General features: G+C 42.2%; 1 protein-coding gene across 2 annotated transcripts in view, besides 8 other annotated features; it reads left to right on the top strand.

Annotated features, from left to right (window-relative positions):
* Positions 1 to 25,006, top strand: part of SLC12A8 (solute carrier family 12 member 8) — a 130,105-nt gene that overhangs the window by 97,129 nt on the left and 7,970 nt on the right. For both annotated transcript variants that reach the window (NM_024628.6, NM_001195483.2), the window contains 4 exons: positions 5,285 to 5,431; positions 7,494 to 8,139; positions 23,422 to 23,519; positions 24,064 to 24,181. In NM_024628.6, coding sequence (NP_078904.4) covers positions 5,285 to 5,431; positions 7,494 to 8,139; positions 23,422 to 23,519; positions 24,064 to 24,181 — 1,009 coding nt within the window. The remainder of the gene's footprint in view (positions 1 to 5,284; positions 5,432 to 7,493; positions 8,140 to 23,421; positions 23,520 to 24,063; positions 24,182 to 25,006) is intronic.
* Positions 4,444 to 4,493: an enhancer, noted in NCBI's record as "active region_20415". NCBI's record gives its function as "activates an Ori minimal core promoter by ATAC-STARR-seq in GM12878 lymphoblastoid cells {active_cell/tissue: GM12878}" and the evidence as "EXISTENCE:reporter gene assay evidence [ECO:0000049][PMID:35858748]".
* Positions 4,784 to 4,993: an enhancer, noted in NCBI's record as "active region_20414". NCBI's record gives its function as "activates an Ori minimal core promoter by ATAC-STARR-seq in GM12878 lymphoblastoid cells {active_cell/tissue: GM12878}" and the evidence as "EXISTENCE:reporter gene assay evidence [ECO:0000049][PMID:35858748]".
* Positions 6,453 to 6,622: an enhancer, noted in NCBI's record as "active region_20413". NCBI's record gives its function as "activates an Ori minimal core promoter by ATAC-STARR-seq in GM12878 lymphoblastoid cells {active_cell/tissue: GM12878}" and the evidence as "EXISTENCE:reporter gene assay evidence [ECO:0000049][PMID:35858748]".
* Positions 6,643 to 6,722: an enhancer, noted in NCBI's record as "active region_20412". NCBI's record gives its function as "activates an Ori minimal core promoter by ATAC-STARR-seq in GM12878 lymphoblastoid cells {active_cell/tissue: GM12878}" and the evidence as "EXISTENCE:reporter gene assay evidence [ECO:0000049][PMID:35858748]".
* Positions 7,207 to 7,707: an enhancer, noted in NCBI's record as "H3K4me1 hESC enhancer chr3:124826757-124827257 (GRCh37/hg19 assembly coordinates)". NCBI's record gives its function as "activates a minimal SCP1, AML or CMV promoter by ChIP-STARR-seq in naive H9 embryonic stem cells {active_cell/tissue: H9 hESC(naive)}" and the evidence as "EXISTENCE:reporter gene assay evidence [ECO:0000049][PMID:30033119]".
* Positions 7,303 to 7,372: an enhancer, noted in NCBI's record as "active region_20411". NCBI's record gives its function as "activates an Ori minimal core promoter by ATAC-STARR-seq in GM12878 lymphoblastoid cells {active_cell/tissue: GM12878}" and the evidence as "EXISTENCE:reporter gene assay evidence [ECO:0000049][PMID:35858748]".
* Positions 7,383 to 7,432: an enhancer, noted in NCBI's record as "active region_20410". NCBI's record gives its function as "activates an Ori minimal core promoter by ATAC-STARR-seq in GM12878 lymphoblastoid cells {active_cell/tissue: GM12878}" and the evidence as "EXISTENCE:reporter gene assay evidence [ECO:0000049][PMID:35858748]".
* Positions 7,708 to 8,208: an enhancer, noted in NCBI's record as "H3K4me1 hESC enhancer chr3:124826256-124826756 (GRCh37/hg19 assembly coordinates)". NCBI's record gives its function as "activates a minimal SCP1, AML or CMV promoter by ChIP-STARR-seq in naive H9 embryonic stem cells {active_cell/tissue: H9 hESC(naive)}" and the evidence as "EXISTENCE:reporter gene assay evidence [ECO:0000049][PMID:30033119]".

The following is a 25,006-nucleotide window of genomic DNA, read 5'->3' as shown; positions in this document are numbered from 1 at the left end:
TGCAGCTTCTCTGATCTATTTCTAATTATTTGGCTTCTCAACTCACAGTTTCTCTAAGAAGCGTCTTTTTACTTTTTTTTTTTGTTTGTTTTTCTTGAGATGGAGTTTTGCTCTTGTTGCCCAAGCTGGAGTGCAATGGCATGATCTCAGCTCACTGCAACCTCCACCTCCCAGGTTCAAGTGATTCTCCTGCTTCAGCCCCCCAAGTAGCTGGGATTACAGGCACATGCCACCATGCCTGGCTAATTTTTTGTATTTTTAGTAGAAACGGGGTTTCACCATGTTAGCCAGGCTGGTCTCGAACTCCTGACCTCAGGTGATCCACCCGCCTCAGTCTCCCAAAGTGCTGGGATTACAGGGATGAGCTACTGCGCCCGGCGACGTCTTTTTACTTTTTATCCCCACTGCAGAGGAACTTTCTCCCAGCTCTCAGGTGTATGTGTGTTCTTAAACATCTTGTATACAGTGGTGGCTCTGAGATAACCCATGAAAGCATGTAGTAGGTGCTAATTATAATACATTTTACCTGGCACATAGCAGATGCTAACTAAATTTTAACTCCCTTCCACACTCCTTATGGGCATACCCTTACAGATCAAGACATTTATTTTAGGAACACATTTTCTCCCCACAAATCCACCATATTTAATAGAAAAGCCAGAACAGTCAATCTCAGTATTATTTAGTTAGAAAAGGAATTGTATAAACAGTGTTAGTTGGGGTGAAATTAAATAGATTAAATGTTTCAGAATAAACTCGTATACAGTCCAGGAAACAGATGTTTATTACAAATAAAAAAGGCCAAATACCTTAGGAGCCCTGGGGCTTGCTAACTAGCAAAATAAGAGCAATCTAAGAAGGAAAAATATCCCAAAAGTATTATTGTTAAGACTAGGGAATCTGGGTGGTTCATGCCTGTAATCCCAGCACTTTGGGAGGGCGTGGCGGGCAGATCACTTGAGGTCAGGAGTTCAAGACCAGCCTGGCCAACACAGTGAAACCCCCATCTCCACCAAAAAATACAAAAATATGCCAGGCGTGGTGGTGCATGCCTGTAGTTCCAGCTACTCGAGAGGCTGAGGCAAGAGAATCGCTAGAACCCAGGAGGCGGAGGTTGCAGTGAGCCAAGATCGTGCCACTGCACTCCAGCCTGGGCAACAGTGCGAAACTCTGTCTCAAAAATACAAAACCCCCCTAAAACTGGGTAATCCCACAGAGCAAACTCTGATTCCTGGATTTAATAGTCATGGTTTCACATATTCAAGAGGGACCTTGGAAGCTCATGACACAAGCTGTACAGGGAAGATGGGGATGGGACAGCGCTGGTAACTGGGGAGTGAGCCTAGTGGGCCACTCAGCACCTGGGAGTGGGCCAGCCTGAGTGTCCTCTGCCCTCCATCGTGGACACAGTCCTGCCTCTCAGGAAGGGAAGCAGACTAGGTCTCATTATGGAAAATGGCTCTCAAGTGAGAGGTAAAACTTGACTGAAAGTTGAGATGTTGATCAATTCATGGAGCGTGGAGATGTTAGGAAACTCATGACTCTAGAAATGAGATGTGGGAGGAAAAAAAGCGTTGTTGAGACTCGGCCTTATTAATACACTTGGGATTGTAAAGGTTTTTAGGGTGCACTCCCCAGTTATGTCAGGGGTCACCGCAATTAGATGAGACAGAATGAGCGCCTTGCAAATGACTTTAAATCCAGTCCTTTGAGAGAAGAGAGCAGCCAATGAATGAGCAGAGTCCCTCAATGACCGAAGCTCAAGTGGGAGCTGGGAGAAAATACTAAGAGCAGAGAGATGGAAGTAATTATTTTCATCAGTAGTTACTGAAGAAAGAAATCAGGGTAGCTCACACCCCATGTAATATTTTGGAAAGAGCTCTGGGGGTGGGGGGATGGCTCAAACAGGTGTATGCCAGAAAAGAATCACTGTTTATTTAAAAAGAGCTGTTGACACACCTCTGCTCAAATAAATTCTCACTTCCACCTCCACTGGCACATTTAGCAAATTTTCAGTCTGATATGAATAGAGAAAACAATTAAGTTCTGTGAGGGCTGGGAGCAGAGCTACGTGTCTATAAGCCTTGCTCTGCCTAGCACCATGCCAGGAACATAATCTGTCGTCAGGAAATGCTTCCTGAATGGATGGATGGATGGATGGATGACAAATGACAGAAAGAGATAGGATTTAGGCAGGAGAGAGATGGAATGAAGTTTTTATAATTTATCTAGATGTGGAGACCAACATTTCATATATTACTCAGAAAATAGACTGAATAATAGTTTTATATTTTTTTAAAGTGGTAAGTGAACAGATCATTCTACACAATTGACAAACTGGACATAGGTTGCTATACTTGGCCCTGTCTGACCCCAGCTCCTAGGGCTCTGGAGGAATCCCAGGGTGTGTCTGTGGGAAGGCTGGCCAAAGATGGAAGCCACCATATCGTGTACTCATGGTGCCAGAGGCTCAACCCAGTTCCTGAGGTCAGTCCAACACTAGGAGGATGCCAGGCTGGGGCATTCCCACTCATTCCTGCTGTGAGTAAATAGGCTTTAAATGAAAAAGAGTTGTAAAAATTCAAATATACATAACCTTTTAGGTAAGAAGCAGTGAAATTTCTGCAAGGAGATGCCATGCCTGACTCTCCCAAAGAATTTTTTGAGGGGAGAATGCAGTGGCTACAATGTGTTGTGCCCAGGGGTTCTCCACATCGGCTGCACATTAGAATCACCTGGAGGGCTTTCTTAAACTCAACCACGTCTGTGTCTCACTCTACACTAATTAAATCAGAATCTCTGGGTGATTCTTATGTTTAGGCAGAGTGGAGAACTATTGACTTAAATTTTCAAAAGGCTCTTTCTTGATAAAATTTCATCATAGAATCTGGTTTTTAAAAACCAGTCAACATAGGCTGCATTTGGTAGAGAAGACGGAAATAAAGGTTATCGATGAATGATCACATCTCAGAATGGATTGAGGATTGATAATGGATCCAGCTTATCTAACAGTTTTGTAAGGCACCTAGGGCACGATTACAGCAAAGTCATGAAGCTGCATGAATTCAGCTGTTGAGCTCTGCTTGCCAGATTCTGCATGAGGTGCTGGGGGAAGGGGGCCAGGAAGCATGATACAATTCTACCTGTGAGGTGCTCAGGGTGCTGGCAGGATAAGCCATGAGCATAACTAACTATCCCACAGGATGGAAAGTAACAAAATGCCATCAGATCACATAAAGTGATGGAAACACTAGATGACATTGATTTCCTGTAGTAATAAAATGGTGAGTGGGGTGGGCAGGACAAACCCAAGAAATCTGCGATATTGAAAAAAGAGACAGGTGAGATTCTTTGGGGATAAGCATGAGATGATAAAGAAAGGAATCAACAGTGAATTAAAGACAAGGTGGGCTCCGTAGTGGACCTTAGTCTTGTTCATCAAGCATCTGACCTTCCTGACCATTTGGGGGTTATTCCACCAATGGTCTTGAAGGGAGAGAGTACCCCCATTGTGTGTAATAGAAACCCAATGGACCAGACCTCTTTTGCCTGTCCCTTTGCAGCCCTGGTAGGGCACATGACCTACACTAGGCCATTGCGTGCTCCCATTGTAACCAATGAAGTAAAGATAAAGAGCTGGTGAGAATCCATCCACAGGGCAGCAGGGGTGTTGGCAGCATCCTGGCCAAGCTGTTCCTGGGGAAGAGGCTGGGTGTGCCTCCAGGCTTGGTCCTGCCCTTTTCTGAGCCTCATCCTTTAGCCTCCTGATGATTCTACAAACCACCAGTGTCCTACAAATATATTCTTTTTTAAAGAAATTTTTTTTTTCCAATCAACTGTCCTGACTGATTCATCCATCAGTCAAATTATTCCAGTGATAATTTATGAGCCAGGAAAGAAGTCTAGCCAGTGGCTTGTGTTCAATGTAGCTTGGTGACACGAATCCGGTGCTTTGCTGATGCAAGGAAGTAAAAAATGGGGTGAGGAGAGCCTTCATCAAGAAGGGTGTAAGTGACAAAGCTGAATATTAACTCTAACCTATCTGTAAGCATTGGACGCATGAGTACTTGGAATGTACAGTTCTGGCCATTGTGCCTAAAGGAAAGTAGAATGGAAAGGGCACCTCAAATAAGAAAACAAAGATGCTTTCCTGTGGGTACAGATGAGATCTGGCCCAGGAGGGTGAATTCATGAGTGACAGCTTGGGATCTGGCTGTGCATGGCAAGCAGTCATGCAGCCACCCAGCCCCTTAGCACTTTTAGCCCTGAGTTAGCTAGTAACATCTTGGACCCTGATCTTTTGCAAGTTGACACCAAGAAGAACAGCTGTGCCCTCTTATTCTATCTGTTGGTGCCTTGTGGGTCATGGATCTCATTCATTCATTCGTCATTTATATTTCTGTGTTGGGCACCAAGAATTCTAGGGTAAACAAGACAGAAGGCCTGCTTAAATGAAGCCTCCAGATTAGTGGAGGGGGCACCACGATAGGTGCTATCCTAACATCATGTTGGGGATGCTATGGAGCACTGAGAAGCAACTACTGTAGTCAGGGAAGAGGGGATGGCCTCACAGTGGAGGTGAGGTTGGTGCTGAGTTTTGTAGCACAATTAGGAGTTTAACAGACAATGAGTAGATTAGGGCGTGTGAACAGAGGCTTCCTACAGACAGAAAAATCATGCTGATCAGACTTTCAGTGTGCAGGGTGTGGAGCTAAAGAGGTCACAGACCATGAAGAGCCTTATATGTCAGGACAGGGGGAGATTTTGATATATCTGCAACGGAGACATTGTGGTCAGATTTGAGTTTAGAGAACAGAGGCTTAGGGGATGATTCAGAGTGAATCATCTGAAGATTTAAACTCATCTTTAAGGGTGAGCTTAAAGGCAAGAGGCCAATGAGCATTGTGGTTGGCCAGTTTGTTCTCAAAGTGTGGTCTCTGGGAACGCATGCGGAATCCAGATTTCTAGGCCCCACCCCAAGCCTACTGAACCAGGAACTCTGAGGAGGGGCCCAGAAGTTTGTGTTTAGCAAGCCCTGCAGCTGAGTCTGGCAGACGCTTCATTTGAGGACCACTGTGCAATCCATATGAAATGTGGTGGTGGATTCAGCTGAAACCATGGAATGAATGGGGGCGAGGCTGGGGATGTGGAAACTGTATCCCAGGGATCAGATCTAGACGACTCAGTGGATGATTGCATGGGGTGCAGGTGGGTGGGTGCTGGGGGGGTAGAAAGGCACAGGAGCAGGTTCTGGCACTGGCGAATGAAACCGCTTCTCACACAGGTATCCCTCATGGGCTTCCTGTTCCTTTTGGGCTTATACATCTCGTCCCTGGCTTCCTGCATGGGAGGACTTTATGGAGCTCCCCGCATCCTGCAGTGCATTGCCCAGGAGAAAGTGATCCCTGCACTTGCCTGTCTGGGACAAGGGGTGAGTAATCCTCTTTTTTTGGTTTGTTTTTTGAAACATGTTTTGCTGCTAACCTCACTGTTGGCCCATCAATTGGTTAAGCTTTTCTGATCAGAGCCTCTGGTCAATTTCTTTGGGGTGACACAGAAAATAATGCAGAGGTCATTTCTTTCAGCCCTGTCCTCTGGCTGGCTTAGGTTAGGGCTAAGTAGATGAAGCATCTTAAATGTCCCAGCCACCCAGCCCCTTAGCACTTTTAGGACTGGGTTAGCTAACCAGTCCTAGTACCATCTTGGACCCTGAGCAGCATGAAAATGCAGTGCCCCATCCTTTAATGAAAATGAATTCAGGATCCTCCAGGTTTAGCATAGAAGAAAGCGTGTTTTGGTCAGGAGGCGAGCTGGTCCTTGCAGCTCTAACTCTGCCCTTGAGTTTCAACCGCCCCTTGGGGGTTGCTGTTTGATGATTTCCTACACCTCTGGCGTCTACACTTCCTGTTAACCATCATGAACCAAACCTTAACTGATACATAAAGGGCAGCTCAGTTGAGACATGGCTGGAATGATTAAAATAGACATTCCTAAAGTCCAGGGGAGGACCAAAGAGACATAAACAGAGAATCCCATTTCCCACTAATATGGTTTGCAAGCTAGAGTTCATTTTTGTCTTGTTGGGGTACCCCAGAGGGCCTCCCCAGCCGCTTCCAATTTTCAGCCTCTCTCTGGTTTAGGGAACACATCGTTGCAACTTATCCTTGATTTCTTCCTTTATCTTCCTCCAAAAATGCAGTTTGGTTTTGGACATAGTCCGTTTGAGATCCTATTAGACGTTCACTGGAAATGTTGAGTAGGCAGTTGGATATGTAAACCTGGGTTTCAGGGGAATGTTTTAGGCTGGAGATTCAAATTTGGAAGTTGTCAGTATAATGCCGGTATTCAAAGCCGTGAGCCTAGTTGAGCTCACCAAGGGAGGGAGTACAGATAGAGATCTGAGGATGGAGCCTGGGGCTGCTTTAAATGTGGAGTTCAGAGACGTGAAAAGCCAGCCACAGAAACCAAGAAGGAGCAGCCAGTGAAGAGGGAGGCCAATCAGGAGAAGTAAGGTGAAGAAAGTGTTTCGAAGAGGACTGAGTAGCCAGCTGGGTTAAAGAAGACAGGGACTGAGAAGTGACTGTTGCTTTTGGCCCAAGAACTATGTCAGTGACTGTGATGAAGAGCTCCCAGGAGAGGCAGCTAGCACCTTTTTTCCACTCCTGTCCACCTGAAGGTCACCATACCCACCTCCATTAATAACAGGTGTGTGTAATGTGTGTGTGTGAGTATTTGCGGATACTCAGTGTCAGAATTAGTGTCAGAATTCCCCTCCTCCAGCCACCAGTGATTCTGCTGTGTCTTCCGCAATCTGCCTCTCCCTGGGAAGAATCAACTTTGCATTTCTTTGATTTTCTATGCTGGTATTAAAACCCAATGAAAGACAAAAGGAGGAAATATTTGGGAAGTCAAAGTTCTATAATAATGCCCCATGTTCATAGTTATTCCTATGGCTGGGCACAGTGGCTCATGCCTGTAATCCTAACACTCTGGTAGGCCAAGGTGGGCAGATTGCTTGAGGCCAGGAGTTTGTGACTGGCCTGGGCAACATAGCAAAACCACGTCTCTACAAGAAATACAAAAATTAGCCATGCATGGTGGTGTGCACCTGTAGTCCCAGCTATTCAGGATGCTGAGGTGGGAGGATGGCTTAAGCCCAAGAGGCGGAGGTTGCAATGAGCTGAGATCACATCACTGCAGTCCAGCCTGGGCAACAGAGCCAGACCCGGTCTCAAAAAAAGAAAAAAAAAAAAAAGTTGCTAATGCAACTAATATCTGTGGAGCTTACTGCATGTCAGTCTGTGTGAAGCATTTCGCATGCATGAACTAATCCCATGAGTAGGATATTATTATCTCAAGTTTATAGATGAATAATCACATGGGGAGAAGTGGCTGAGTCATTATGAGTTGTGTTTCTAGCCTGTAACTTCTGAAATCTCTGAAGCGTTCTATCTGAAATTTTATGGTCCTGCATGTTATTTTTGTTCCTGCAGAAGGGGCCAAACAAAACACCCGTGGCTGCCATCTGCCTGACCAGCTTGGTGACCATGGCCTTTGTTTTTGTGGGTCAAGTGAACGTTCTGGCCCCCATCGTCACCATCAACTTCATGCTGACATACGTTGCAGTGGACTACTCTTACTTCTCCCTGTCCATGTGTTCCTGCAGCCTGACCCCGGTGCCTGAGCCGGTGCTCAGGGAGGGCGCAGAAGGCCTCCACTGCTCTGAGCACCTGCTCTTAGAGAAAGCTCCCAGTTACGGCTCTGAGGGACCTGCCCAAAGAGTCTTGGAGGGCACGCTACTGGAATTCACCAAGGACATGGATCAGCTCCTCCAGCTAACCAGGAAGCTTGAGAGTAGCCAGCCCAGGCAAGGAGAGGGTAACAGGACCCCAGAAAGTCAGAAGAGGAAAAGCAAGAAGGCCACCAAGCAGACCCTACAAGATAGCTTCCTCTTGGACCTCAAATCCCCTCCTTCTTTCCCTGTCGAGATCTCTGACAGGTTGCCCGCTGCCTCCTGGGAGGGGCAGGAGTCCTGCTGGAACAAGCAGACTTCCAAGAGCGAAGGGACTCAGCCTGAGGGAACATATGGAGAGCAACTTGTTCCTGAGCTGTGCAACCAATCAGAGTCCAGTGGAGAAGGTGAGTGCTCTGGTATCACACTGGGGCCTCTTATTTGGGGATGACCACTGATTATCCTACCTACCCAGTTATTGTGAACCAGTTATAACTGGGTTTAAAATCCTTGTTAATTTTGTGCAATATTTGTTTTAAAACATTATATTCAGGTATCAGCTGAATTATTTGTAATTATACTCTGTTATAGATAGTTAATTTTAAACAGAAATTTCTATCTACTCCTGTATGTTAGACCTGAGAGCCACAGCTAGTAATTGGGTATCAATCTCTTTTCACTCAAAAATGAACAGAAGTATAAAGCCTCAATGTGAGTAAAATCAATCTCTCCTTACAAGAGAAGTGGAAATGTGTTGTGATAAACTACCTGTTAAGGATGCAATATGTTTTCTTTGTGGAAGATGAACCTCCCAAACCAGGCAAGAGGGGATGGACAGAAGGTGGCTCAAGCTTTGTTTTCTCAAATCTATAAACACAGAGATACACAGAGACACTCACAGAGAGGCTTATAGAGCATGAGAAATTCTGAAAATGAGAACTCGTATTTTCAAGGACCTACCATATTCTAGGTGCTTTACATCTATTACTTCGTGTAATATAACATATATTAGCATTTTCCCTTTTACAAGTAAGACCTTGTGTCCACATGAGGTCACAGAGAAGACTCTGACCTGATTCTTTGCACAGCTGGACATCACCCTGCATTGTATTGTCTGTATTTGAGGCCCATGTACTTTCCTCTACATTATGCTCTCCCTGGAGCTATATACAGACAGGTGTGGGCAAAGAGGAGGAGATGAGGGACATAGAAGGAGGTGTCTGAAAAATAGTGTTTTGGCCGGGCGCGGTGGCTCACGTCTATAATCCCAGCCTGACCAACATGGTGAAACCTTGTCTCTACTAAAAATACAAATAATTAGCCAGGCATGGTGGCTGCTGCCTGTAATCCCAGCTACTCATGAGGCTGAGGCAGGAGAATTGCTTGAACCCAGGAGGCGGAGGTTGCAGTGGCAGGAGAGTTGCTTGAGCCTGGGAGGCAGAGGTTGCAGTGAGCCAAGATCATGACACTGCACTCCAGCCTGGGTGACAGAGTGAGACTCCATCTCAAAACAAAACAACAACAACAACAAAAAACCCCAAAAACCTAGTGTTTTAAGTTCTCCCAGAAACCTGTTTTTCCTTCTTTGCCTCTAAATTTCTGGGAAACTTTTAATTAAAAATAAAAATTATTTTATTTTAATCAATGTAATAAGTGTACAATTTAATAAGCCAAATAATATTAAAAGTCACATAACCAGAAACAGTAGTTCCTACTCTTTTATACCACCCCTTTTACCCTTCTCTATTTCCAGTCCCATTCCCAGAAAATCCCACTTTGAACCAAAAATATGCTTCTTCTGTTAATCTGTCACTAAATAATGTATTTGCATTGCTACTTCTTGATATGTCAGTTTCTGACATCATCTTTTGAGTTGCTGTTATGGTAAATGAGGATTTGGTGCGATCTCAGCTCACTGCAACCTCCACCTCCCGGGTTCAAGCGGTTCTCCTGCCTCAGCCTCCCAAGTAGCTGAGATTACAGGGACCCACCACCACACCCAGCTAATTTTTGTATTTTTAGTAGAGATGGGGTTTCACCATGTTGGCCAGGCTGGTCTTGAACTCCTGACCTCAAGTGATCTACCCACCTCAGCCTCCCAAAGTGCTGAAATTACAGGCGTGAGCCACCACACCCTGCCTGGATTTAACTCTTATATGCCACTCTGACTTCTCCTTATTTAATGCCCCCAGAGTAGTTATCTCACAGTTTTTTATTAAATTAAAAGCTAGTATTCTTGTTATCATGACTAAGTAAATATTGCTCAGTTCTGAGCCATATGTTACACTATGATTACATTTCCTTTTTTGCTCAACTTTTGCTGTTTCCTGGAATTAATAATTGCCTTGGTTTTTTCTTTGCTTGGTTTTCTGTCATCATTTTTCTTTAAATGCTCTGGCAGATCTGTCAAATGCCTTTTTGTGTTATTTTCAAAATGCTCCAATTCTTCAGAAATGTATTCTTTTCTTTTTTCCCCTCTGTCCTATGGCTCCATCCTTCTGTTCCACTCTAGATTGTTTGTTTGCTAGGTCTGCTACAAAGCTGTTGTCTTAGAATTCCTCTTGTTACCACACTTCTGTGTCAGATCCAGGAAACAAGAGATTTCTTACCAAAGTCATGCTTTTACATAGTTTTTCTTTGATAATTCCCCACCCCCATCCCTCCATCCCCCCTCTATTATCTCGATTTTGTATCTTCTTAAATGGTTCTCTAATCTTCTTTCTTTTCTCTTTCCTATTGTTCATTTATTTGTTGTTTTTTTCTGGGATATTTCATGGATTTTCTCTCCCAAGGCTTCTAATGATTTTTTTTTTAAAGTGTTGGTTGTTGTATCAGTCACGATTAGTTTTGACTGAGGATAACAAAATTGCAAAATAATAGTGACTTCATCTAGCTCATACACAAGGATCCAGAGGTGGGCAGTCCATGGCTGCCATGGCAGCTCCATGGTCCTGAGTGACCCATGCTCCTTTATCACTTAGTATATTGTTCTGTGATCCAACATGTGGTTGCTGGGGTCACGCCATTACATTTATATTCCAGGCACTAGAAAAAGGGGAGGGAAAAAGGGCAAAAGGGTGAGCCTCTAAACTGAGTCATTTGGAGGAGGCTTCCTCAAAAGTCCCATTCCAACTTCTCATATTTCATTGGTTGGAATTTAGTCATGTGATTACAACAAACTGCAAAGAAGGCTGATAAAATTGTTTTTTAACTGGTCATATTACTACTTTACATAAAATTATGTGTTTTTTCTTTTTTTCCTAAGAAAGAAGGAGAGATAAGGTAGCAACTATCAGTCTATGCCACAATTATCCAGTTTTTAATTTCCAAGACCTCTTGGTTGTGATCTAATTTGTCCTTGTCTTTTTTTTTTTTTTTTTCTAATTTGAACATCATCTATTTTTGTTCTATGAGTACAATGGCTTATCTTCTCTCTCTGATACTATTATTGATCTTCCTCCTTTAAAATTTTTTTCTGAGGCTGGACATGGTGGCTCATACCTGTAATCCCAGCACTTTGGGAGGCTGGGGCAGGAGGATCACCTGAGGCCAGGAGTTCAAGATCAGCCTGGGCAACACAGTGAGACCCCATATCTACAAAAATTAAAAAGGAAGTTAGCTGGGCATAGTGGCATATGCCTGTAGCCCCGGCTACTCCAGAGGCTGAGGTGGGGGGATCTCTTAAGCCCAGAAATTCAAAGTTACAATGAGCTATGATCACTCCACCGCACTCCAGCCTGGGCGACAGAGCAAGACCCTGTCTCTAAAAATAAAAGTAAAAATAATTTTAAAAAGTTTTTCTGTTCCTTTCACTGTTCCTGTTTTCTTTAATTATTTTCTCTTTGGTTTGGGCTCTCTCTTTCTCTCTCTTTTTTTTTTTTTTTAAATCTTGGAGGCTTTTACTAAAATGTCCATTGATCTTTTGACTTCTTTTTGTACTTAAAAGTGAAGCACTCGCTGGGCACGGTGGCTCACACCTGTAATCCAGCACTTTGGGAGGCTGAGACAGGAGGAATGTTTGAGCCCAGGAGTTCAAGACCAGCCTGGACATCATAGCGAGATCCGGCTGCTACAAAAAACTAAAAAATTAGTGGGGGTATAGTGGCACATGCCTGTAGTCTCAGCTACTTGGGAGGCTGAGGTGGGAAGACAACTTGAGCCTGGGAAGTTGAAGCTGCAGTGAGTGGTGATCACATCACTGCACTCCAGCCTAGGTAACATATTGAGACCCTGTGTCTACAAAAATTTTTTTTCAATGAGCCAAGTGTGATGACACATGCCTGTAGTTCCAGCTACTCAGGAGGCTGAGGTGGGAGGATTGCTTGAGCCTGGGAGGTTGAGGCTACAATGAGCCATCATCACGCCACTGTACTCCAGCCTTGGTGACAGGGTGAGCCTCTGTCTCTCTTTTTTTTTTTTTTTTTTTTTAAGTGAAGTACTAAAAAACTGTTTAGAAGAGCTTTGTACATTAGCAGGGCTTGTTAATTGGGGCACCTTACTGTAGAATAAGGAGGAGTGGGCTAGACTTTTTACTGGAGGACCCCCAAATGTGAATATCTAGAGGTTTTTCTCTTGGGCTCTTCACGTTTTCCTCTGGAGGAGAGTTCTTTAATCCCTTGCCCGAGGGACACACAGATAGGTACGGGCATTCTGGGAACAGGATGAGGTGAGTGAGTTGGAGAGGGGTCCCACTGTTTAGGGTATAGATGTTCATTTAATTCCCTGCCTTCAAATTCCATTTCCACACTCTTTGCTGTGCCTGCTGTGCCAAGTTTAGGCACTCTCTGGCTTGATTGTTTCAAAGGAAAGCCCCCTTGAGGAGGGAATTGGGCAACAGAAGGGTTGTTACTTGGCTTCATAGGCAGAGAAAAGGATCTTGGTATACAACAAATATAGACCTCCCACAGCCCCCTATACCTTACCACTGCATGGGATGTGGTGCTTCCTGGTCCTGAAGCTGGTCTGCCAGAATGAACTGGGCTGCTCCCTGCCAGCACCCTCTCTGGGGGCCCTAGGGTTCACTCTCCTCTGCTCTGCTCAGTCTGTCACTACGGTCACCTTTCCATCTTCCAGGACTTGTTTTTATTTTTCCTCTCTCATTCTCTTCGTGTTTGTGGGTTTATGTCTGTTTCATTCCTTTTCTGTCTTCTCATTGGATTTTCAGGAGAGACGTGGACAGTCTGCAATGTTTAATCAAGGAAGTGGTCGCTGTCCAGCTGCCTAGTCTTAGAAATGTCATAGGTGTTGCTGACCATTCCCTCTCTCCCACTCCCTGCTGCCTTTACTTTGGTGCAGACGCTCATCATCTTGTACCTGGACTCTTGCTAAGTCTCCAAGACTCTCCCGCATCCCATTTCTCCTTCATGCTGCCCACTGAATGATCTTTCTAAAATAAAACTCTCATCATGTCTCTCTTACTTAAAAATGCTTGCTGGAATTTAACCCCTTCCGTGTAAAGTCCCAGATAGGGTGTACGATGCAAGGTTCTTCGCAATGCAGCCCTAACCTACGTTCCTGGCCACACTTCTCATGACAACCCATGCACTGTACGTTCCGCTTTCACCCAAACTGATGTCCTAAACACACCATGTTCTTTATTCCTTCCTGCCTTCATACACCCTGTTCTGCCTCCTCCGATTGCTTCACCTCCCCCTTCTCCATCTGGAAAACTCTGACATCATTTAAAATCCATCTGACTTTTAAGACCCACTTTCACCCCTTTTGGAGAAGGATTCTCTGATGTCTTCCACTGTGCAACCATAACATTTGATTCATATTAGTAATATAAACTATTATCTCATATTTATATCACATCATATTTATATCACATTTGTTCACACATTTGTCTTTAGGTTTATTTGTCTATCTTAAGGAAATAAATATTAAACTCATTTCTTTGCCACTAGATTGTCAGATTCCTTTGTTTTCAAACTATGTCTTTTTACCTCTGTACTCGTCACAATATTCCCATACAGTACACATAATGTAGCAAACACTCAGTAAAGCCTACTTGAATTGATGAGCAATTGAGCAAATTTTGGCTAAAACATTGAAGCATTGATCAAATAGAAAGAGTTAAACTATTATAAGAACCTAATCGTTGACAAACCAGATGCTATAAAATAATAATAATCAAATCACAATGGAATAAATATTCCTGAAAGCATGGATTTTAAAAATTAACTTGAGGCTGTATTTTATACCTTATATACACAAGAATTATTTATTTACAACAGCTGTGCAAGAGAGATTTTTTAACTACGTAGACATCATCAAAGACAAGATATCTGATTAAATAGAAATAAAAAACATTTGTACAACACAGTGTCACAGAAGGAAACAATTATTCTGACAAAACACAACTGATGAAAGCATACCTTCCAAAGCGTATTATTTTTAAAAACAGGAAGGTCAAAATCCAGATTTTACTGAAAAGATGTCAGGTGAGATAAATACAAAGTTTTACATTTGAAAAATTAATGCTCACTCATTCATGTCCATTCAACAAATGAATTCTTATTGTTAAGTATTATTAGTAGCTAAAAATAGCCAGCACTTACTGAGCACATCCTATGTGCCTGGCACTGAGATTAGCATTTAATATGAGCTATTTCGCTGAAGCCCAGATTTAGGCATTGTTCTGTCTTTCTACAGATGATAAAACTGAGGCTCAGAGAAGTTAAACACTTGCTCATGATAGGAGACAGTCAGAATTTGAACCCAGGTCAATCTGACTGTCAAACCTGTGCTCTTAACCACTACACAGTGTGTATGCCAACACTTGCAATGGGTATTTGTTTTGAACTAGGCCATGATATTGATTAAATGAACACAAATTAAATCATCTTTTTTTTTTTTTTTTTTTTTTGAGACGGAGTCTCGCTCTGTCGCCCAGGCCGGACTGCGGACTGCAGTGGCGCAATCTCGGCTCACTGCAAGCTCCGCTTCCCGGGTTCACGCCATTCTCCTGCCTCAGCCTCCCGAGTAGCTGGGACTACAGGCGCCCGCCACCGCGCCCGGCTAATTTTTTGTATTTTTAGTAGAGACGGGGTTTCACCTTGTTAGCCAGGATGGTCTCGATCTCCTGACCTCATGATCCACCCACCTCGGCCTCCCAAAGTGCTGGGATTACAGGCGTGAGCCACCGCGCCCGGCCTAAATCATCTTTAAGATAGCATTAAGCTGGGCATGGTGGCTCGTGCCTGTAATCCCAGCACTTTGGGAGGCCAAGGCAGGTGGATCACCTGAGGTCAGGAGTTCGAGACCAGCCTGACCAACATGGAGAAACCTCATCTCTACTAAAAATACAAAAATTAGCCGGGCATGGTGGCACATGCCTGTAATCCCAGCTACTTAGGAGGCTGAGGCAGGAGAATCACTTGAACCTGGGAGGTGGAGGTTGCGGTGAGTCGAGATCATGCCATTGCACTCCAGCCTGGGCAATAAGAGTGAGACTCCATTTTTAAAAAATAATAATAATAAATATATATAATTGCATATCTATTAAGCTATAAAAATTTAAATAAAAATAGCAGATTTGTGATAATTAGGTGTATGTACACATTGCTAGAGGCAACATCAATTGATTCATTCTTTCTTTCCTGTTGATTAAAGTTTTTCATCAAATTTGGGAAGTTTTTGGCTAATATTTCTTCAAATATTTTTTCTGCCCTTTCTTTTTCTCCTGTCCCTGTGGGACTTCCATTACATATTTATTGATATACTTGACATTATCCCATTAGGCCTCTGAGACTCTCTTTCCTTTGCTTCCACCTTTCCCCCTCTGTTCTTCACTTTGGATCATTTTTGTCTTGAAGTTCACTGATTCTTTCCTCTGTCATCTGAAATCTTCTGTTGATAGCATCTAGTACATTTTTCATTTCTGTTACTGTGCTTTCTAACTGTAGAGTTTTCATTTGGTTCTTTTTTATAGTTTATATTTCTCTCTCTCTCTTTTTTGAAACAGAGTTTCGCTCTTGTTGCCCAGGCTGGAGTGCAATGGTGTGATCTCGGCTCACTGCAACCTCCACCTCCTGGGTTCAGGCAATTCTCCTGCCTCAGCCTCCTGAGTAGCTGGGATTACAGATGCCCACCACCATGCTCAGCTAATTTTTTATTTTTAGTAGAGATGGGGTTTCACCATGTTGGCCAGGCTGGTCTCAAACTCCTGACCTTAGGGGTTCTGCATGCCTCAGCCTCCCAAAGTGCTGGGATTACAGGCATGAGCCACTGTACCTGGCCTTTAGTTTATATTTCTCTGTTGGTATTCTTTATTTTTAAAGTCATTGTCATCCGAATTTTTTTCTCATTAACATTATCGTTTTCTTTAATTCTTTAAATATATTTTTAACAGCTGCTTTGAAGTTTGAAGTCTTTGTCTGCTAAATACAACACATGAACCTACTCAGTTAGTTTCTTTTACTTGATGTTTTTCTTTCCTGAGCATGGATCACAGTTTTCTGGGTTTTTTGCATGTCTTGTAATTTTTCGTTGAAAACTAGACAATTTAAATAATGTATTGTAGCAACTCTTTATTCTGATATATATTTCTGAGTTTTTGGTTTTTTGTTTATTTTAGTAAATTGCCTGGATTTCAACTGTGGCATCTGCCTCCCCCGTGGTGTGTGGCTGCTGATATCGTTAGTCAGCTTTTTATTCTTATGTGTTTAGCCTTGCTTCCTAGGAGTTGCCCCCTGTGTCTGCATAGCCCTTAAGGCTCTGCATAGCCCTTAAGGCTCTGCTCTCTGCCAGTGGATCTGTGTGTCACTTGGGAAGCATAGTCAAAACTGGATCCAATTAGTTCCCCATTCTCCTCTGGGTTTTATGTTTTGCCAGGTTCTTTCAGGCCTCCCCAGGCGTGGGCGTAGTTTTCTAGTCATCCAGGGAAATGTGGGGAGGTTATCTAGTCTTTCTATGGTGCTCTCATTTCCAGGATCTCCCCATTAAATTTCTGCTGGTCTTCTGCTCACCCTAGCTGGGTCTGCACTTTCAGGCTAGCAAGGATTTTCCCCATTCATTTTTCTACTGTGCTTATCATATTTAGCATATAAAGCCACAGCCTTTTGCCCTGGCTTCAAATCAACTTTGCCCCTCTGACAGCAAACTGCTGGTTTCTGACCAGCTTCATGCTTAATGGGAGCAGCTTAGGCAAGAAGGCTACAGGCTTTCATGTTTCTTACCCTCAGCTTTAGAAATTTTTGAAAAATAAATACTTCTCAATTTGTTTTCTTCATCTGGTAAATTTCTGGAGCTCTGAAGTAAGTGTTTTGGACTATTTTGTCTAGTTTTATACGTGTGTGTGTGTGTGTGTGTGTGTGTGTGTGTGTGTGTGTGGAGAAGATTCACTGACCTCTTCATACTGCCATGGCTAGAAGTCCCTCTGGTTCATTGTTTGTGGAGAATGATCTTTCAAGATGTAACAAGAAACACAAAACTGTTTAATTGCCCTGACTTAGTAAGTCTATTTGAGGGAACTGTTTATCAAGGAAACAACCCCAAATCAGCCAAACAGCAAACCAAAAAATGTGTACAAGATTGTCATAGCTGCATTGTTTGTGCTAATGACAAATTAGAAATAAGTGCTCAGCATTTGGAAAGTGGTTAAGCAAATTATAACATCAACATGATAAAATACCACGTGGACTTTAAACATGATTCTGTGTGGACTAAGGCAATATACGTTATCAGTTTATACATGCTAATTAGAACTATGTGTTTATTTATTCTGATAAAGATATGAAGTGAATTTTCACAGAGGGTTTAATATTTAAGTAATTTCTATAAAATTACTTAAATTTATTATTTAAAAATTAACATAATTGGGGTTTCCTCCTTTATGCTTAAAGTGTTTATATCTGCTGTGAACATAGAACTTAGACATATCACTAGATTTTAAAGGTCAATTTAATATTTTGCCTTATATTTGTTATGTGTAGCATTTTTAACATGCACGATGCATGCTTGTTTGTTTTATGAGTAGAGGCTTGATAAAGTAAAGTTACCTGCCTAGTTGTAACTTCCTAGTATTTCTAGCATGAGAAGCTGTCCCCTGCCCCTCTGACAAGTTTGTACAACTTGCTTTCTCCAGCAAAATCTGAGACAAGAAAAAAAATTCCTCTAGTCACTTTGGAAGAGTTTTGAAACCCTAGCTATTCAGAATTATGAATAATTGTCTATTTTACAGTACCTATTCAAAGAGTCATTGAGCATCTTTGCATAAATTTTCCCTTACATTGCTGATATATAAAACAGCATTGTGGCTGCCTAGAGGACAAACCTTTCCTACTACTTCTGCCCAAGTTCCTCAGAACACACACACACACACACACACACACACACACACACACACACACACACACAATTCCCTTTAGGTTCAGTAAAATTGAGGTTGTGTAAGATCAAGTGTTGTAAAAGGGTGAGCTTTAACAGGTGACAGATCTCAAAGAGATGCAAAAATATAAGTTCTTAACCAATAGTGTTTCTTCTTCTTTTTTTTTTTTGAGACAGAGTCTTGCTCTGTTGCCCATGCTACAATGCAGTGGTGTGATCTTGGCTCACTGCAACCTCAGCCTCCTGGGTTTAAGCAATTCTCTTGCCTCAGCCTCCCAAGTAGCTGGGATTACAGGTGCGTTCCACCATGCCCAGCTAATTTTTTGTATTTTTTTTAGTAGAGACGGGGTTTCACCATGTTGGCCAGGATGGTCTTGATCTCTTGACCTTGTGATGCACCTGCCCCTTGGCCTCGCAAAGTGCTGGGATTACAGGTGTGAGCCACTGTGCCCGGCCTAGTGTTCCTTCTTAATAACCAAGAGGGCAACTGTATTTTACTAAGCCTATGTTTGCCATTAATTAAATTGTTAAAATTAAACAATTTTTTAAATAATTATGATTGCCATTAATTAAATTGTTAAAACTATACAATTTAACATGCTGAATAGACATAGAAGGTTTTTGCTGTTGTAGAGCTTACATTCTAGTAGGGGAAGACATATGATAAATAAGCAAATACACACTGTGATGTCAATAAGTGATAAGTACAAAACTAAACAAATAACCAATTTAATTAAATTGTTAAAACTATACAATTTAATTAATGGCAATCATAACAGAATTATTTATTTTTTGAAAAGTAATAGAGCCATCCATTCAGATCAATCTTGCAGACTTTATTTTAATCCATAATTATTAAGGAGACTTTTACTGAGCGCTTCCTATACACAAACTTCTAAATGCCTAGAGTTGGCATTTAGAATATAAAAGAGGGTCCTTATCCCTGAAGGTACAGATGTAAAAAAAGATAAGCATAATACTTGGAGGCACATGATGAATGCAAATAGATGTTGAGAGGATGAAGTCTTCTCAAGGTGTAGAATGATTTATTCATTCACCCACATGTATGGAATACCTCGTACATTCCAGACACTGTCCCAAGTGCTGGGGGAACATGCTGAATAGACATAGAAGGTTTTTGCTGTTGTAGAGCTTACATTCTAGTAGGGGAAGACATATGATAAACAAGCAAATACCATACTGTGATGTCAGTAAGTGATAAGTATAATGAATAATAATAGAGTAATGGGATAAAGAGAGACCAGGGTGGGGAGGAAGATGCACTGTTTCAGGTAGGTTTATTAGAAAAGATCTCACTGGGAAGATGATATTTTAATGGAGAACTGAATTGCATGAAGCAGTGAGCCATGCAGAGAAGTAGAAGAAGAGTTCCAGGTAGAGGACCTGGCATGTAAAAAAGTCCAGGTGGGAACTGGACTGGCAACTCATCAAGAATGGCAGAGGCCCAGTAGTGACTGGAGAGCAGTGAGCCAGGGAAGAGAGATGAGAGGGGTCCAGTGAGGAAAGCGGGGGCAGTGCTGTATAGGGCCATGTGGGCCATTGTGAGTGTGATGGAAGGCGCTGAAAGTTCTAGCTACAGCTACAATGTGACCAGAGTCAGTCTTTAAGAAGATCACTGGCTTTTAGAGGTAAGAGAGAGAGCCAAGGCCAATTTGGAGGTATATTAATTAGGGTAGGCTAAACAAATAACCAAAAAATGTTATTTACTTGCTTTACAGTGCAAGAAGGGTGTTCCAACTCCGTGGGAGGCTCTCTTCCATGCATCCACTCAGGGATCCAGGCTCCTGCCATTTGTATGACTTCACTATGCCCTCGGACCTAGTCATGTGAAGAATCAAGACTGAGTTACCACATTCAGATTTCAGGCAGAGGAAGGGGAAAGTGCACAGAGAAGAGGCACACATTCTCTTAAAGACCTTGGGCCAGGAGTGGCACTCACTGCTTCTGTTCACATTCTGTTGCTGAGAACTTAGTCACATGGTTACACCTAACAGTGAGAAATCCTGTGGACTGTACTCTAGCTGGGGTCTGTACCACAGGAGCCCGCTGCAGTAAATGGATGAAAGATGAAAGTGGGTTGGACTAGGATGGGAGCAATGGAGGCAGTGAGGAGTCATTGTATCCAGAATATATTCTGATAGTAGAATAAACAAGGTTTATGGATGGAATAAGTATAGGTGTGAGAGAAAGAAGGGAGTCAGGATGAATCTTACATGTTTGTGTAAATGGTGGTGTTATTTATTCAAATGAAGATTTGAGGTGAATAGATTTCTGTGTTAGTCATGTTAAGTTTAAGGTGCTTATTAGCCAACTAATGGGTGATACTGAGAAGACAATGAGCTATTCAAAACTTAAGTTCAAGGGAGAGGTCGAGGATGATGTAAACTTGGAGTCATCAATATATCAGTAGCATTTAAAGCCATGAGACTAGAAGAAATCTCTTAGGAGTGGGTATACATGGAAAAAAGGAGTGCTGAAGACTGAATGTTGGAATACTCCAATATTTTCAGGTTGGAAGGAGGAGGCGAGCCAGCAAAGAAGACTGAGAGAGTGGGCAGTGACATAGAAAAATCAAGAGAGTGAGGCATCTTAGAGGATAATTTTTCCAAGAAGGAGAAAGTGATCACATGTATCAGATGCTGCCTGAAAGATCAAATGGGATGAGGGCTAGGAGTTGACCACAGAATTTGAAAAGATTCAAATCATTGGCAACTTTGGTAAGAGTAGTTTTAGTGGAAAAGTAGATACAATCATAAGAGTGGGTTGAGGAAATAATGGGATATAGAGACTGCATAGGCAATTCTTTTGAGGAGGTTTGCTATAAGGGAGAGACAGCAATAGGACAATAACTAGGGGTGAGCTGTAGACATTTGTTTAGGTGGGAGAGAAGACAGTATATTTGTATTTGTTGGGAATGATTCAGTAGGGGACAGAAAAATTGATGATGTGAGAACAAAGTCCTTGAACAGGCCAAAAGGGATGGGATCCTGGCACAAGTGGAGGGATGGGCCTTAGTTAGGATCAGAGGCTGTTCATCCACCGTGAAAGGAAGGAAGGCAGAATAGAGGGTATAGATGCAAGTGAATTGGCTAATTGGGTGATGAGAGAACATGAAAAGTTCTCTTTGGAGAAGAGAGCTTGTAAATTTGTTCTATCAGAGAGTAGGAGGATGAGTTGCCTAGGTATGAGGCTGCTGAGTAATTCTGAAGCATGGGAGCAGATGTGTATGTAGGTAAGAGGTTAGGGAAAGCGGGAGGTAGGTGATGGAAATCAAAAACATACTAAGGCAAACTATCTAAAGGTCCCTCTGTAGACTATGAATGGTTGGAATGAGGAACAGCAGAGCAAATGAGCTTAACGTTGCTTTTAAAGGAGGTTATGGGCTGAGAGTAGATTGCTGAAAGTCATGATTTAGGAAGTGTAAGGTTACTGGTAATGACACACCGCAAGTGCAGCTAAGGGAGTTGACAGTTGGGATGAGTGAAAGAAAAGATTATTAGTATGAGGATTTCAAGGAATCGAGAAAGTAGGGCTTTGGATGAGTTGTTTTTGTAGAAGTCACCAATGATGACAATGGATGCTGATAGAGAAAAAGATGGTGAACCAGGGGCTGAAATATTTAACAAGCAAGAGAAGAATGACAAGTTGGTAAAAGACTGTAATGATGAAGGGTAGGGTGTGAAATAGTCTGATGGCATGTGCTTCAAAGGGGCTAGGTCATAAAGCAACAGTGACCAGAGAGGATGGGAGACTTGGGCTAGGAATACTTAGTGAGTTCTGCTACATGCCAAGCCCTAGGCTCAAGATGGATGTGGACCCTGCCCCCATGAAGCATATAATCCAATGGGCATAGAAACATGTAAATAAGTATACAACTACAAATGATGGTAAGTGCTGTGAAGGAAATGGGCCATAAGGAAATATTAATGGTATGTGGGAATATATTTAGATTTTCCTGTGGGGGCTGATTTCCCTGAGGAAGTGATAACTGAGCTGAGGGATGCATAGGAGTTAGATAAGCAGAGGGCTAGGGGATCCATGAGACGTGGATCCCAGATAGATTCCAGGAACCAACACATCAGGAGTGGTTGACATGGGGAAGAACACTGGTATATGAGACAGGATTTGGACCGTAGTGAAGAAGGAAGGGCTGGGCAGAGGAGATGACACAGTCAAGAGAGTTTGGCTGAAGTGGAAATTTGATATTGGAGAACAGAGAAGGGCTATGTAGGGAGCTTTCTACTATATTTCCTGAGCAACAAACTATGAAGGTTGAGAACACCTGAAGTTTTAGTGTTGAAATGAAGTATAAACATACTGCGAAGTTAATTCAACATATCATTTATTTGAAACATTATTGTGGTGTTCATGGTGATTAGACCATATTGTTAAACAATCTAGATGCATTTTCATAGTTAAATTGAGCATTTCTGCAGAAATAGAAAGTCAAATGCCTCATGTCTTCACTTATAAGTGGGAGCTAAATAATGTGTACACATTGACATAGATTGTGGAGTAATAGACTTTGGAGACTCGGAAAGGTAGGAGGGTGGGATTGAGAGATGAGAAATTGCCTAATGGCTACAGTGTACACTATTTGGGTGAGGCTTACACTAAAAGCCCAAACTTCACTACTCTGACATTAAAAAATTATTATTATTTTTAAATTGAGCGCTTCTGGAGCCAGCTGTAAACTGAGAATGCAGAGCTGAATAGAACATGACATAGCTCTGAAAGCCCTGTTGTGCCTGAAAGGATGAGGCAGGATCATGCATTTGTTTATTGCCAGGCCCCTTTCCCCTCAGCCATTTCAATTGCCAGAGGAAGGAATCAGAGGAGCTATTCTCCCTCCATCTTTCTCCTTCATCAGTTTCTGGTTGATACCTGAGACAGGTCTAACACGAGCTAACTTTCAGAGTCAGAAGGTAGCAAAGACCATCTCTCATTAGACAAAAGCCAACCTGCCCTAGCAGTCCCGGTGGTCACACCTGGAAGCCAAGAATACCAGATGTCTAGTTCTCCCACTCTAACACCTTACATCTGAAAAAGAGGGGAGAGCTGAGCTTCCAGTTGCCCCAGATGACATATCTGGACAGTTGTGCCTTGAGCATCAGAGGACCTTCCTCTCCACTCTGTCTCTCTCTTCTCTTTCTTTCTCAGATCCTTGGCTGGTGGGAGGCCATAAACACTTCTTTCTTCCTTCTGCAAGAGCAAGCCCTGGGAGATGTCTTTTAGGCTAAGTTACAAAATTGGGGAAGAGGAGCTCATAGGTATATTTTCCTAAAAAACAGTAGAGAGTTGATAGCAATTTGGCAGCCAAATCTTTGGCTATTTTTTAGATTTCTTCCTGAAGTCCAGGCTCCAAGAACAAGATGTCTGGAGAAGATCCACTTCTTTCTATACCCACATGTGCAACCCCTGGGTCTCCCTGTTGGGGGTGAGTAACTTCATCTTGATCTCAGTTGTTCTTGGGACAGAGTTCAGGTGGACACATGTGTGATCTTGGGCTGTGGGGGAGGAAAGATGGAGGGCCTAATTAGAAGCAATGTGATTTGCCTGTTGTATTAGAATTTAGATGAGACTACATATGGCAAGATTACATTTAATGACTGCTTATTTTAATCAATAATTTCCTTTTTAAATAATTGTCTATGATAACTTCTGGGTTACTAAATTTTAAGGTACGCTAAGTTATCATACTTTCATCCTAATTTGTTTCTTATAGGGAGGAATGGGACAAGGAGATAAGATAGAATATCTAGTTGATAGTTTTAATTAAAGAGTTATTTTCAGAAGGTGTCTGCCCAAATATCTGCTTAAGTGAGGTTTTTTGAATTCTTCATAAACTTCAATTATTCAGACTTTTACAGTGATCAGAAGTTGATGAGAGGGAATGTTGTTGCTGAAGACATTAGCCTTGTGGCTTGCTTACCATGTAGAAAGCCATTAGGTGATTTGCTCTTCCTACTCTGTTTTCACAGGCTGTTGGGTCCCTTCTCATCATGTTTGTGATACAGTGGGTGTATACCCTGGTTAACATGGGTGTTGCTGCCATCGTGTATTTCTACATTGGCCGGGCCAGTCCAGGGCTTCACCTTGGTAAGCAGCAGAGCCATTTTGCCACTGGTTCCCTCATTCTCTCTACCATTCATTGGGAAAAAAAAGATTTTGAATATCAATTGAATGCCAACACTGATTCAGATGTGAATCCCATTTTCAAATAATTTATAGTCTAGGAGGAGAACTGTGACAAGCACATGAATGATTACCAATAAAAATAATAACTTAAAAATGAGGTTTATAAGATATGTAGAAGTAAAAATGAATAACAATAGTCCAAGAGCTAGCAGTGAAGTGAAAGTATACTGTTGTAAGTTTCTTATACTTTGTTAAATACTATAACATCACTTGATGGCGGATTGTGGTAAGTTTAAAATGTATACTATAAACCCTAAAGCAACCTAAGATAACACAACAGTTATAGTTAAGCCAGTAAAGGAGATAAAAAGTACTCAATCAAAATAAGGCAGAAAAAGATAATAAAGGACAAATGAGACAAACAAAAAACAAATAACAAGATGGTTTATGTATATGTAATCCCAGCCATATCAATAATCACACTAGATATGGGTGGTCTAAGCACCCTAATTGAATGCCAAAGATTGTCAGATTGAATGAAAAAGCATGACCCAACTATATGCTGCCTACAAGAATCCTTCTTTATATGTAAAGACACAAACATGTTAAAAGTAAAAGGAAGGAAAAAGATACATCAGGCTAACACTAATGAAAAACAAAGCAGGGTAGCTATATTAACATTAGGCAAAGTAGAGTTTGGAGAAAAGAATATTACAGTGATAAAGAGGGTGATTTCATGAAGCTGAAGGGAAAAATACATCAGGAAGACATAACAAAGCTTAACAT

This window comes from Homo sapiens, chromosome 3, assembly GCF_000001405.40.
Source record: "Homo sapiens chromosome 3, GRCh38.p14 Primary Assembly".
NCBI lineage: Eukaryota > Metazoa > Chordata > Mammalia > Primates > Hominidae > Homo > Homo sapiens.
Note: the sequence above shows the minus strand (reverse complement) of the source record. Positions and strands in the feature narration are given on the sequence as shown.